Source organism: Homo sapiens, chromosome 1, assembly GCF_000001405.40.
Source record: "Homo sapiens chromosome 1, GRCh38.p14 Primary Assembly".
In the NCBI taxonomy this organism is placed as follows: Eukaryota; Metazoa; Chordata; class Mammalia; order Primates; family Hominidae; genus Homo; species Homo sapiens.
The window spans coordinates 236205303-236219260 of record NC_000001.11 but is presented as its reverse complement, the minus strand read 5'-3'; the positions used below and the strand labels follow the sequence as shown (position 1 = coordinate 236219260).

Below are 13958 nucleotides of genomic sequence, written 5' to 3'. Positions count from 1 at the left end.
TTTCCTGATAATGAGATCATATATGTGATGGGCTTAGAACATTGCCTGTCCTCCTAAGTGATTAAGGAATAATTTTTCTTCTATCAAATAGTTAAAGATTTTTCTTCTATCACCCCTGAATTGTACATAGGGATACTTGAGCTTTTAGAATTACTTTTTTATATTTCCCATCCCAGAGTTTTACTTTTTGGCCTGGGCTGAGAAGCACTTCATTTAGTCAGTCAGTAATCATTTACTGAATACTATAAGCATCAATGGGTATGGGGCACAGGAGAGAGACTCAGCAGGAGATGAAATAGAGTCTTTACCCTTAGGGAGCTAACAACATAAGACAAATTAGTGTGTTTGGGGAACATTGAGTAAAGAGCAATCATTTGAAGAGGAATGTGCAAAATAAATTTATTAGACCAATTGTAAATGATTTGAGATTCTTTATTAAGAATTATTCATATCACTGTTCCCATTATTAATCTAATGTCTGTAGATAGTATGAAGTAACAGGCTTCCTTTGCCCCTTCTAAACCAGTCTTAATGAGAACACTAATTTAAACATGGAAGCTTCAGTGTTTGAGGTTTTTTATTTTAGGTTTTGCTTTCAAATTATAGCTTATGTAACAATATCAATAATTTGAAACAGTATGCAACATGTTAGCCTTACTAATAAGCTTTTTCTTTCTTCCATAGGCTTTCTACAAGTATAAGAGACTTACAGAATTTTAAAGTCTTATTACAACACAGTAGGTAATAAAGGCTTTTATGTGTCTAACTAGAGACATAAAGTGACTGTGGAAAGCCTTTTAATTATGGACATTCATCAGAAAGACACTAATCTGACTTCAAGAATTCTGAACTATTAAATAGAAAATTTAAATGCTCACTTGAATATTTATGATTCTTAATAGATTATTATCAACTAGAGATATTTATAAATGAAGTATATACTTTTAAAACATGTAAGTTATACTAATTTTGTGTTTAATTTCATATGTTTTCATGTAATGAAAATTCTATTTTTTTTAGAATTGGTTTTGTTTTTATTCTATTATCCTTTATTTCCAGTTGTCAAACTTTAAATGGCTATGTCTGCATTCTAATAACACTGTTCAGTCTGTTATGGAAAAGGAGAACTAGGGAACAAATGTTGCTCAGGGCTGGTGTCAGTGAGAAAAATTTATCAATGCTTTTTAATGTGTTTTTACCCTTGCCTCACTGTGTGTGTGTCACTTTCTATAATATAAAGAAATACTATAATATTTCTAGAATCTGGAACTGTCACCATGATGAATGGCCCTTTCAATGCATAGTTACAGAAATTCCTGAAGATTCCCCAGGACTTCAATTTCATTGGTTTTTATTTGCAGTTTTTAGTTGCTGTAATTGTTGCTGTTTCCAGTCTAAAGGACCTCCTTTGGTAAAGGTGAACAAGACCTCTCCCCTATGCTACCCAGCCAGATTTTGTGTGTGTAATGGGCTGGCCCAAGAGTGTTCTTTTACTTAGAACTCCTTTTGATTTTGCTTTTCTCTGCCCCTAGAAATTTTAGGGACAAAGACATTTTGGAAATTGTCAGTTACTTTTAGAAAGAAAACACTGCAGAAATATTTAACAGATTACTTCTTGATAAAATTTAAATGGGATTATATGAATTTATAATGCCAATTGAAAATATTATATACACAAAATTTGCTATTTTCACTTAAAGTAAGCATTTTTAAAGGATTTATTTTAGAATACAATCTATGCAATCCTCGAACTCAGTGTGCTTTTCCCTGACAGGATATATAAAAAGGTAGATTAGGTCAACCCTCCTTTAAGCTTACTCTCCCCTCACCTTTTCTTTTCACTGTATATAAACGGTACTTTCTGTGATTCATACCAACAGAGGACTTTCTGTGATTCATACCAACAGTCCTAAACTGTCATTTTCTAAATCTGGGATTTAAAATCTTTAGACAATATTTAAAATCTTGATTTTTTTTAAATGTCAGCAGATACAATTTGGAAGATTGCATCTGTGTAGAAGTAATGCAGGTACAAGATCTAGAGTTTTTCCTTAGACTCTTTAGTCTTTTCTGAATTAAAGAATAAGTGCTCTTAAATCCATATTTTATCCTGTCAAAGTCTGAAATGTGTTCATTGATGATTTGGTGACATCTAAAAAATTGTATTTAGTTGGCTTGGCTCACCCCTCTTAAAAATACTTAGCCATCTCTTGGTGGGATGTGGTGGGGGTATTAAGGTCTCAGAGTTATTTATTTTCTCACCTAATTTCAAACCTTTATAAACTTGGGGTTTTGTTGTTGATGGTGGTAGTATTTTTTGTTAAGTTGTTTAAAAGGCTGACTTGATTGGAGCCTCCTCTACTTTTTCTTGAGGGTTGCAAGTATTGTATGGTGGGGGAGGGGGGCCTTAAGGCAAACTGTCTAAAAAGTGACTATCCAATTAATTTAACTAGTAAATTAGTAAGAATTATTCTTAGTATTCACTCAGAGTTTAAGATGTGAAAAATCTGCACTTTGTTTATCACTCTAAATGTAAAGAACTTTTTGATAGTGTTATTTCACCACTCCCTCAGTTAAAGGCTATTATTTAAACTGTTTACTGGAGAAAATCCTCGCTCATGTCCATTTATTGTTTTTTTCTGTACTGTGATTTGTTTCAAGCTTAGGAAAACTAGTATATTAGAGTATGTTCTAGGAAATTAAAAGATCTGGTTAGAGTAAAAAGTTCTTTTTAAGGTTCTTAACTAATTTTTTCACAACTAAGAAAATAAATGAAGTATTCTTAGGCTGAAATTCATCTTATTTTATCATAAATTAGATTGTAGGGGCAGCCTACATTTTTGTGTATGTGTTTTTATTTCTTAAATGATTGTGTGAGCCTGGTGACATTTTATGGTTCTTGTGATCTAAACTGTTTTTCCAATTCACATCTTTTGTCGTGAAGTGATATTATACTAGAGTACTGTTTGCATTGTAAAAATGCTTTGCTGGTGCTCTGGCATTTTGTCTTTATCTCATCACCTAATTTAAAAACCCAGCACTTGATAATATAACTGACAGAAATGATTGTACCCACTGATGAAGTAATGAAAATGAAGAAAAGGAAAATATTCCTTCCTTCAATGGCGTAAGTTTATTTTTTACTTAAGTGGCATCTATGTAAGTTAGACAAACTATATATTAAAATTGGTAAACTTTGAATGTTTCTCCTGTTTTGATTCTTAGATTATGAGGAGGATCAGACAGAATAAGACTCCACACTTTTGAAATTTGATAAGTCAAAACGTTTTATTTTGACATTTTTAACATTGTGAATTATTCGATATTTGTAATCTCTGTATGTATATGAAACTCTGCCATGTTTTTCAACTTTGCCTATGTGCCACTGTATATAAGAAAGGACAGCTATTTTGATCTTCATCAGCATTGCCTTCAGCTGAAAATTTGGGAACAGTTCACAGTAAACCTCTCAGTAGTTTGCAAACTGAGGTACCTGCAGAAACCATAGCTACTCACCAAAATACACAGATTAGGTGCATGGTATCGTGGAAATTATTTGGTAAAAAAACACACACACAAATCTATGTGTACTGTATTTTAAGGAATATCTACAGGTGCAGCTTTGATTTTGAACAGAATTCCAAATAATTTACTGTTGTACCCACCAGAATCTAGAAAATGTGAATTAAAGTACATGTTTCTGCAATCTTTTCTGTCTTGTTTTTCCCCGCTATTTTAAGTGTTTCTTTTTATGGCATGAGAATTTGATTGTAACCTGTGGAGAAGGGAGAAAATGTATTTATAAGTAGTCTGAGGTTGTTTCTTATCATAATGGCAAGCATTGGCTGGCATTGTATTAAGGGCTTTTACATGCATAGTTTGGCTTTAAAAGAATACACCGTTAATCTTCACAATAGCACTAGTAGGTAGGTACAATTACTTCTCTGTTTTATAAGTAAGAAGACTGAGGATAAAAAAGGCTAAGTAACCTGTCCATAGTCACAAATTCTAGGTTGTGGAGCAAGAATTTGAGACGAGAAAGACTGATTCTAGAACCTTTGTGACATTTTGTAAGTTGGCCTATTTCCATTCAGCTACAAAGTGGGAACAATTAAAAGCATTGTTTGATTTGTATTGAATCATAAAGCTTATAAAATATGCTTATCTTATTTAATTTTTTGAATAGGTAATACATTCACATGGTTAAAAGAAACAAACAATATAAAAAGTTATTCAGTGAATGTGTTCCTGTGTCCTTGGCCCAGCTTCCTCCACTGCACACTCATCTCCCACCATGAATAGCCTGTGCTCTTGGTTTCTTAGGTTTCCATTCACACTGTTGTAGACAGGTACAAACATATACAAATGGAAAGTCTTATTTTTTCTCTCATTTTTACTCAAAAATTGACATCATATACATACGACTTCATTTTTTTCACCTAGTATTTCTTGGCAGTCTTCACATATGACTAGATAGTTTTCTCATTTTTTGAAGTAGATACTTGGTATTCTGTTATGTGAATGTGCCAGTGTTGAATTAACCCGTCCTCTATTAATGGGCAGCTGGGTTGTTTCCAGACCTTGTACATATGTCATTTCACATTTATATAAATATTGTACCTGTAGAATAAATTCCCAAAGATAAGAATTTTGGGGGCAAAGACTGTGTGCATTTATAATTTTGAAAGATATTGGCATATTGTCCTTCATAGGGGTAGTCATCAATTCACATACCATCTAAAATTTATGATAGTACTTGCTAACCTGCAACATTACCAATGTAGATGTTATTAAAATGTTGGATTCTGGCCATTCTGGTAGATGAAAATTTATATCAATGTGTACATTCTTTTATTTTCCTTAAAAAAGAGACAGGGTCCCACGTTATCACCCAGGCTGGAGTGCAGTGGTATGATCATAGTTCACCGTAGCCTCAAACTCGTGGGCTCAAGTGATCCTCCAGCCTTAACCTCCCGAATAGCCTGGCTTATAGGTGCACGCCACACACCTGACTGCTCAGTATGTAAATTTTTACTATGCCTAAGGTTGACCACCTTTTAATATGTTTAGGAGCCATTTGTATTTCCTTTTGTTTCCCATATTGTTTTGTTCCTATCCATTTTTCTACTATATCGTTGATATGTTGTTTATTTGTTAGGGATATGAACCCTTTGACAGTAATGAGTTGCAAATATTTTCTTTCCAATTTGTCATCTGTCTTTTGCTTATGATGGCTTTGTCATGAGTTTTAAAAAATTTTTATGTAGTCTGAATTACCAGTTTTTTTAGTGGTTTCTGGATTTTGAGTCATAATTAGAATGTTTTTCTCAATCCAGAGCAATAGAGTAATTCACCTAAATTCTACATCTAAATTTTGAACCTCTGAAGCATATTCTGGCATAAGATATAAGTTATGGATCTAACCTAATTTTTTCCGCAGGTGATTAACCCAGTTGTTCCAATATTATTTATTGAACTGTTTGTTTTTTCCTGACGAGTTTGAGAGGCTACATTGATCTTATCTTAGAATCCGTCATATGTATTTAGCTGTGTATCTGCTTCTGTTTCTCTGTATCTGTTTCTATTTCATTGCTCTATTTAGTCATGCACTAGTACCACATTGTTTTAATTACCCAGGCTTTAGTTTTAATCTAGTGCATTGGTCCTCCCTCATTCCTCCCCTGCCCACCTTTTTTTTTTTTAACAGTTTTTCTAACTGTTCTTATTTTTCCATATGAGCTTTAAAAAATTCTTAACATATAGAGCATACTAAAACTGTCCAACTCAAGTTCTCTCCCAAGGGTTGCACTTTTAACCACTTATTTTGTCACTGTTCTTTTGATACTTTACCTGATAAAGATACACTTTTTACTACTTTTAAATTATTACAGTGTTCTATTTGGCAGTGCCCAAACAGGTGATGGCAGATAGAGGCAGGATGCAATGCCTGTGTGGAAAGAATGTCATCTCAGTGCTTCTATTTTAAGATAGTCTCTAGGAATGATTTAAGGACTGTTCTCATGTAAAATCCCTATTTCTTTTTTTATTCCATTACGAATTATTTGCCCAAAAGTTGGATATCTGTCAAAGATTCATAAGACAAGAGGGAGAGACCCTTAAATAAGTACTAAACTTGTAAAATCAATATGTGGATAAAAGTGCAAGTACAAGAAGTTACTTTGGAAAAAAAAAAAAAAGCAGACATCTACCAAAAAACAGGATTTGACTATTCATTCACTGTTATAGGAGCTGGGACTATAGCAGTGAACAAAACAGACAAACATTCCTGCCATCATATAACTTAAGACATTATAACCTACCTAGATTGTAGTGAGAATGCACCAAAAGAAAAAATACATCAACCAAAGGGAAATGGCCAACTAGACACCCATCTAGTGCAGAAGGTGTCCTCAACATGAATGAATCTTAGTGTTGTCTTGACAATGCCATCAGATTGTCATAGATTGATGCTATTAATCAATTAAAGTCATTCCCCTAACACTGGTCAGAGCGGAGTTAACATTCCAAGCAACATTCTGGTATCATTTAACTTCTGCTATGGCTTTCCTTCATAGAATATACCTCCAAATGGGTGTGTGTTCTGTTCCCTTTAATGAGCTTAAACCTGCAAACCTGGAGCCCAGACTCTTGGCTAGTGAATTCACCAAGGAGATAGCACTCAAAGGATACTAAGTTACACATATTTAATGGCCCTGGTAAAGCACTATTTGTTTAGGATAAATGCATGCTAATCCATTAATGCAGTTAATCCGTTCAAGGAGCACTGTAACTTGGGCCTGCCAAGAGACTGGAGGGACTGTTGTAGGTTAGCGCGATTCATGGGGAAAAGGTCATAGTAACAGGAATCAATAGAAAAAGGGGGCAATTTTGGGAATCTTATAGGCATCTGATCTCCACTTAAGTTCAGGGGCAGAAAATCTGTTCTGGACATAGTCTAATATTTTGAGTGGTAGGACATCCAAGGTCCAAAAGGGCAGACCAGGTTTGGAGCTAGAGAATTAGTATTAGCAAGATGTTAATCAGTTTGAGAAAACAGAAGACAGGGTCCAGCCATAGCTCAAGGACTAGAGGTAGAGAATCCAGACTTGGAGGAACCAGGTAGATGTCATTAGGAGTTGCTGAGTCACTGGATTTAGATCTTACAACCCTGAACCCATAATTAATGACCTGGGCAGCCAATCTCAGAACTCCACACGGAAGGCATGTAGTATCAGTGCCCTGGCCCATAGGAACCGGGCAACAGGTACAGGGACTCTGACACAGATCTAGGTTATGGGCACAGGGACATCCTCAGAAGACTTCAATGTATTTTGACCCTTGGTGCAAGAGTTCTTATGTATCCTTGCTAAGGGCCTAGAGTAACGTTAATAAGTGGGTGTTCCTGAGTATAGACTAGGATCCACAGAAACGTGACGAGTGCCTAGTCCAGCGTCTCTCATATAATAGGTACTGAATAGACATTGAATCCCACTCTCTTATCCTCACTGTTCCTTGTTAAATGTTTCCTCACTTTAATCCGTTTATTAATTGAATCTTTTTGATGAGACAAATTCCCCAATTTTAGCCTGATCCTTTTCAGCAGCTCCTCCATCTGGACCCATGTCTTAAGTAGCATGATAGTATACAGTTAGAAATGTCCTTTAATACAATTCTCATATAAGATGAAAACTGGGAATGCATATTAGATGTGTCTCTGATCAGATCTATGCTAGTCTCTTCCTCATGCAACAATCTAAAGTGAAAGAATGGTATTTTTTAGATAAAGGTTGTCTAGTTGGAAATCTCGATAAAAGTTTCAAATATTTAGACCCATTTAGTTCTAATATAAGTTTACCTTTACTGTTAAAAGATAAAAGCAAGTAATATCCACTATGTAAATATGAGAACCTTTTTCTCACAGTGCTTCTCAAGTTCTAGGGTTTACTAATATGTATTCCTTTCTTCTTAATAAGGTTTAAGTGTTCAACTAGGTGTTGGCCCAGCACTAAGGTCAACAAAGAGCAGCTGACTTGGATTTTGGTGAAAGAGGAAATTTGAGGAGGCATTAGTGAGTGTGCCTTATCTAAGTAGCTAAATTTAACCAGCAAAGCTTTTAATTTGCCTGATACATTCAAGAGAGAATTGGTATAAATATGATTGATGTGTATATTGTAATAGTCAAACCTTCTTACAGTCACAACTCTGTAACATACCCTAGATGTTTTAATCAGCAGCTCAACTGAGTTCATTGTAAAAAGGGTAAAGAACCAATGAAAAATATCTATACAATATTCTTAGACAATTAGCTGCAGAGGTAGACACCTATTCCAATAGTCAGAGAAACTATTTCCAACAGTTACCCAGAAACGTTCACATGAAACTTTTCAGTGTTCCATCAGACTTAGCTAAATGATGGCACAAAATTTTCAGTGATTCCCTCTTCCCCATATACTTCAACTTTCTAATCATCAGGGCTTTAATTTCATCGTGTTGCTTTAAAACAAGAGGACATTTGGGTATTTTGCAACCAGTAATCACCATTCCTTTTCCTCTTAGCATTTAATATTCCACATAAGTAGTTTTTTTGTTTTGTTTTGTTTTGTTTTGAGACCGAGTCTTGCTCTGTTGCCCAGGCTGGAGTGCAGTGGCGCAATGTCCGCTCACTGCAAGCTCCGCCTCCTGGGTTCACACCATTCTTCTGCCTCAGCCTTCCAAGTAGCTGGGACTACAGGCACCCGCCACCACGCCCGGCTAATTTTTTGTATTTTTAGTATAGACGGGCTTTCACCGTGTTAGCCAGGATGGTCTAGATCTCCTGACCTTGTGATCCTCCCGCCTCGGCCTCCCAAAGTGCTGGGATACAGGCGTGAGCCACCGCGCCCAGCCAGAAGTAGTTTTGTTAGTGTACCTAGTAGAACAAGTAAATTAGAAAGCCAAAGGGAATTTTAATTTTCCTTACTAAGAAGGAAGGAGAGTTTGAGTAATCAATCATAGTTTTTTTGTATTCCGTGTTTACAACACTTCTAGAAATTTTAGCATTACATTTTTAAAAGGGGAATGAGAAAAATAGGCACTTAGAACATTTTTATACTATCTAACAAAAATAATAGTTCAAATAAATCCCAGTAGCTTCATCATAAAAGTAGGCTGACTTCTCTCACTTAATGCTGGGTATTCCAATTTTTCTGCCAGTAACAACAGAACTGTGTTTACATATTACAGGATGAGTATGATATTAGTGATAGTCTTATCACTATTTTTAAAAATATATCTTCCCTTAGCTGACCTAATACTGAAGGACTTCAGGACTTTCTGAAGATGTAACTTAAAGGAGTTTAAAACATGCTGAGTCTGCCTTTAAATTAACTATTAGTAATACAGTGTGACCACAATAATCTGTTAAAGCTATTTAGAATAATAGCTTATAATGTGTTAAGGCAACTTGAATAACAGTGTAGGGTTCACTTCAGTATAGACTTTTCCCTGATAACTACTTTAAATGCTATGTTACCCCAATTTTTTCATGTACTAGAAGACAAGAATGTTGTTATGTAGGATTATGCAGAGTGAAGGTGTTCTATACACATGAAAAGCCCAATGATGATCAATTTGAAACTTGAGATCCCAATTTTAAATACTACCAAAACAATAGTAGACTTCATCTGTGAAATCAATGCCCAGAGATCAGTTATTCCTGAAGATCAAAATGAGAGGAGTCATTTGAAATGGGTTGCATCATGTAGTAGGACTTGTTAATATAAGTTCCTTTTCATTGAACCTTCCCTCTGTCCCCAGATGAGCATTCCTAGGCAGAGAAGAAACGTGCCTTGTTTCTGGTAACAGTACTTCCTCTAGAACCTTATCTCTGTTTTATAGAAAAGCAGAGCATTTAGCCTCCCAATAGGCAGTTTTATGGCTCCAGGATATATATAGTGGAGTTTTTAGAATGGCACTTCCGGTCTGGGAGGCAGTACTTCATAACCTGTTTTTTACTTAAATGAAAGATGACTTACAAGGAATTGTCTGGAACATGGCTGACAGGCATCATGCTACAGCATATTGCAGTGCTATTGCCATTTTTAAATGTGCAGCTTCCAATAGGCTCTTTACAGAGCTATTTAGAAGGGCATTATTTTAAATATAGTTGGAGATTACGGAAAAAACTATTAGGATTCCACATAGTCTTAGCTCAACGGCTTGGGGTATTTGTTATTAATGCCCTTTATGGACCCTCTTATTTTCTCCTTGAATGTAATGAACATTCAGTGAGTTCGGAAAGGGGTGTATTCTTGATGTGGCCCTGAGGTAATGCATATTAGATTTCATTAGGCTGAAAAAAAACTATGCAGAATCTGTGAACATAGCAGAGGAGGTTTAATAGGATAAGTCAGCTACATTTTTAATGTTATCAACTTATCATTAATGTGTATACATTAGCGCCCTACTGAAAGGAAGTACCAGTCTTTGGGCAAAACTTAAGAGATTCCTTGAGGAACCTACGGCCTGAACCTTAAAAAAAAAATCTCTAAAGACCTTACAGTCTGCTGCTTTACCATTTCATTTTAATTATCAACACTGGAGTTGCAATTGGCTAAGTTGTCAACTGTATTTTAGGAGTCTACCAATGTGGCACTCAGAATCGGAGTGACCATCAGTGACCTAAAGAGGTAAGATTTGTGGAATACTTTAGTCCAAAAGCTTTAAAAAACTATTAGACCATATATTCTATATTTTTAAAGTGAATTATGCATAAAAGTCTGTGCAAACTACAACATGATTGCAGTAACATTCTCAAGAAAAAAAAACCCTAGTATACTTTAGCATTATTATTTAAGTTATACAAAATACATCTTTATAAAAGTACAGATTTTCTTTAAAAAGTTTAAATTATACCCACTGAAATAGCAAGGCTCCCTCTTTAGTACTAAAATAAGGGTTTATCAGTCTACATTATTGCTTATTCCTATGGGGCCATTGGAAACCTGTAACAAATAAAAATCAAGTTCTATTTCTTAAGGAAAAGTGCCCTAAAAATTCAGCTGTCACTATGCTTTTCTGAAGCTTTTCATCTGAGGAATCGTCCATAAAACTGTTAACTGATGCTACCCAAGGCTTGGTTTGTCAGGATCCAAAGTTGAGTCTTGCAAAGTTCCTGCTTGTGCCAGGAAGCTGTTAGTTTGTTGTCCCCAATCATAGTAATCTGGAGCAAAACTTAAAAAGAAAAAAATATTTCAGTGACTTGAAACATTATATAGTATGTATGACATAGTCTAGTTTAGGTAGACAGAGCTGAGATTTTTGTGTAAACTATAGATAACTCTAAAGTTCTTTTAAATGGCTCTTAAAGTCCATTTTCCCACAAAACCATGCTACACACAGGGCTGAAATGCCCACCGACAACTCTACTGAACTCTTTAGAGCACAGAGTATACAGCATGACTAGAGAACCCAGCCAGTCACTATGCATAGGAAATGTTTTCAGCAACAAACTGCATCTGAATCCTAACATGGAGTACAGCTCACAACCTGTGGTGGTGTCTTTGGACAAGTAACTTCTATGCCTCAATTTCCTCATCTTAGAATGGGAGTAATATTAGTAACTACGTCGTGGGCCTATTGTGGGGACTGAGTTAACATCTGTAAAGTGCTTAGAACAGTGTCTAATATATAGTTAATTCTCAATACACGTAAGTCGTTTTCATTATAATTATGTTCCTCTATGTAGTAGAAAGGGGGTCTTGTCTTCACCATATCGGTAGTGAGGACTCCCTCAGCTCTAAGTCATTTCTGGCAGGTGAGAGGGTGGGACAGCTCTAGCAGAATATGGGTTTAAAGGGGAAAGCAACTAATAGGAGATGCAGTGGGGTAACTGGAAAAGAACAGTTTTAAGGAAGAGGTGGAGCTCAGAATCTGAGTGACCCAAAGGACAGCTTTTGACTTCAAGAAGTCCTTCTTGTTTGTTGGCTTGCTTCCAGCTTACGTTCTTTACATCTGCTGGCTCAGCGCATTGGGCAGCTTTCTTCTTTTTTCTCAGCGACAATCTTTTATCCTATCTGACCAGGATTTCTCTGCTCCCCGATCACTGAGAAAGCATGTATTCTCCCAGCTTTTCTTCAGTACTTCTGTCCCTAAAACAAGGACTCTTTTCAGAGCTCTCTTAAAAAGTTTTCTAAAGACTTTCACTGTTACTAACAAGGAGTAAAAAGGCAAGCATATATTTTTTATCATTTCATCCCAGAGGGAAAAAAGTTGTAAAGTTGTTAATGCTAAGTCTTTAATCTTACAAAAGATTACATAAGATAACCTTTCACTTTCTAAGAAGCTCCCCTTTCCCAGGAACAGGATGGGGGTCCTGAGAGGACAAGCAGAGAGAAGACAGGCTTGGCAGGCACTATGTCAGCCCTTTTGGCTCCTCTCACCCCTGCTGGCCTCACCGTCTCAGAGCCACAGGCTGAAAGGGGAAACATGATAGTCATCGGGTAGTGGAGTATGGCTGAGCACAGCAGGCTGAGGAAAAGGGAAGGGAATCCCAATAGCAACTACCCTTCCTGTTTGCAGACCATGCCCATGCTGAGGTAAGCAAAACTTGGAATCCTGGGGTGGATCTCTGCTATGGTTGCAATTTCAGGTGCTTCCCTCTTTTTATTTGCCTTCCCAATTCACTGAAGATTAGGCGATGGCAGCGGACTGGTAGTTCATGTATTGTCTTACACCCTCTATGTATGCTGCTTTGAACTCTCAGTATTTAACTGCCCTTTCCACATTTTCTGGGCCAGATCCGCATGTAGATTCAAGGAAGGAGACTCCTGCTATTAAAACTCACGTGAAAGTATAACATAAGCGTAGGTGAGACTAAGAGACAGGGTACTTATATACAAACTGTTTACATAGTATGGTGATTCAGAAAACAAATTTGAACAAAACTGCCTGAGTTAGAATTGTAGCCTGATCACTTGCTAGCTGTGTGACCTTGGACAAGTTACCTACCCTCTAGATACCTCAGTTTCATCTGTATTATGAGGCTAATAATAGTACTGACCTCTCAGGACTGTTAAGACTAAATGAGTTGATATTTGTGAATCTCTTAGAACAGTGTCTGATACAGAGTAGATGCTATAGAAGTATTTATTAAATAAGTATTCATGAAAATTGAGACCAAATAAATACCCTTCATGTAAATGAAATTTTAAATTAAGAACTGACATCATTCAAATTTGAAAACTTGGTCCTTTATAATGTATAATTTATTCTAATAAATAAATACTACTGCATTTACTCTCTAGCTTTAGAACATGTGATTAAAGATATCATGTTCCATTGAGTGATTCCATAGACAAGTGCTGTATTTCCCTCTTGGAGATTCAGAGCACACATTAGCATATTACAGGCTCGCTCGGCATTTTCTAAAAAGTTTTTTTTCTGGCCGGGTGCAGTGGCTCACGCCTGTAATCCCAGCACTTTGGGAGGCCAAGGTGGGCAGATCACTTGAGGCCAGGAGTTCAATCCAGCCTGGCCAACGTGGCAAAACCCCGTCTCTACTAAAAATAAAAAAATTTGCTGGGTGCGGTGGCGCACACCGGTAATCCCAGCTACTCAGGAGCCTGAGGCACAAGAATTACTTGAACCTGGGAGCGGGAGGTTGCAGTGAGCCAAGATTGCACCACTCTGCACTCCAGCCGGGCAACAGAGTGAGACCCTATCTCCAAGAAATAAAAAAGTTGATTATCATTTCCTTTTGCACAGCATAACTATTAAGAAAATAGTGTTTCATGGAATATTGTTTAGGAAACACTACTGTATACAATAATGCTATGGGGCTTTAAAAAAACCGGATGTCCTTTCTCATTCCTGAATGTTTCACATAAGTAAAATGATCTACTGAGAATCCAGTCTTATACCACCTAAGGCTGCACAGTTTTAACGTAGGAATTTTCTTTTAGCTTGAATCTATTTAACTG

General features: G+C 36.3%; 2 protein-coding genes across 3 annotated transcripts in view; one reads left to right on the top strand and one right to left on the bottom strand.

The window, feature by feature from the left end:
- The window catches only part of ERO1B (endoplasmic reticulum oxidoreductase 1 beta), a 66858-nt gene extending 62698 nt beyond the window's left edge, over window positions 1-4160 (top strand). Inside the window, exon 16 of the mRNA NM_019891.4 lies at window positions 685-4160. Coding sequence (NP_063944.3) covers window positions 685-745 — 61 coding nt within the window. The 3' untranslated portion in view covers window positions 746-4160. The remainder of the gene's footprint in view (window positions 1-684) is intronic.
- A 6193-nt stretch (window positions 4161-10353) lies between these two features.
- GPR137B (G protein-coupled receptor 137B) overlaps window positions 10354-13958 on the bottom strand; it is a 66369-nt gene continuing 62764 nt past the window's right edge. Inside the window, exon 7 of one of the 2 annotated variants that reach the window (NM_003272.4) lies at window positions 10354-11211. In NM_003272.4, coding sequence (NP_003263.1) covers window positions 11103-11211 — 109 coding nt within the window. In that variant the 3' untranslated portion in view covers window positions 10354-11102. Of the gene's footprint in view, window positions 11212-11980; window positions 12129-13958 lie in introns of those variants that run through there. The other variant, XM_017002209.3, reaches the window with a different exon arrangement.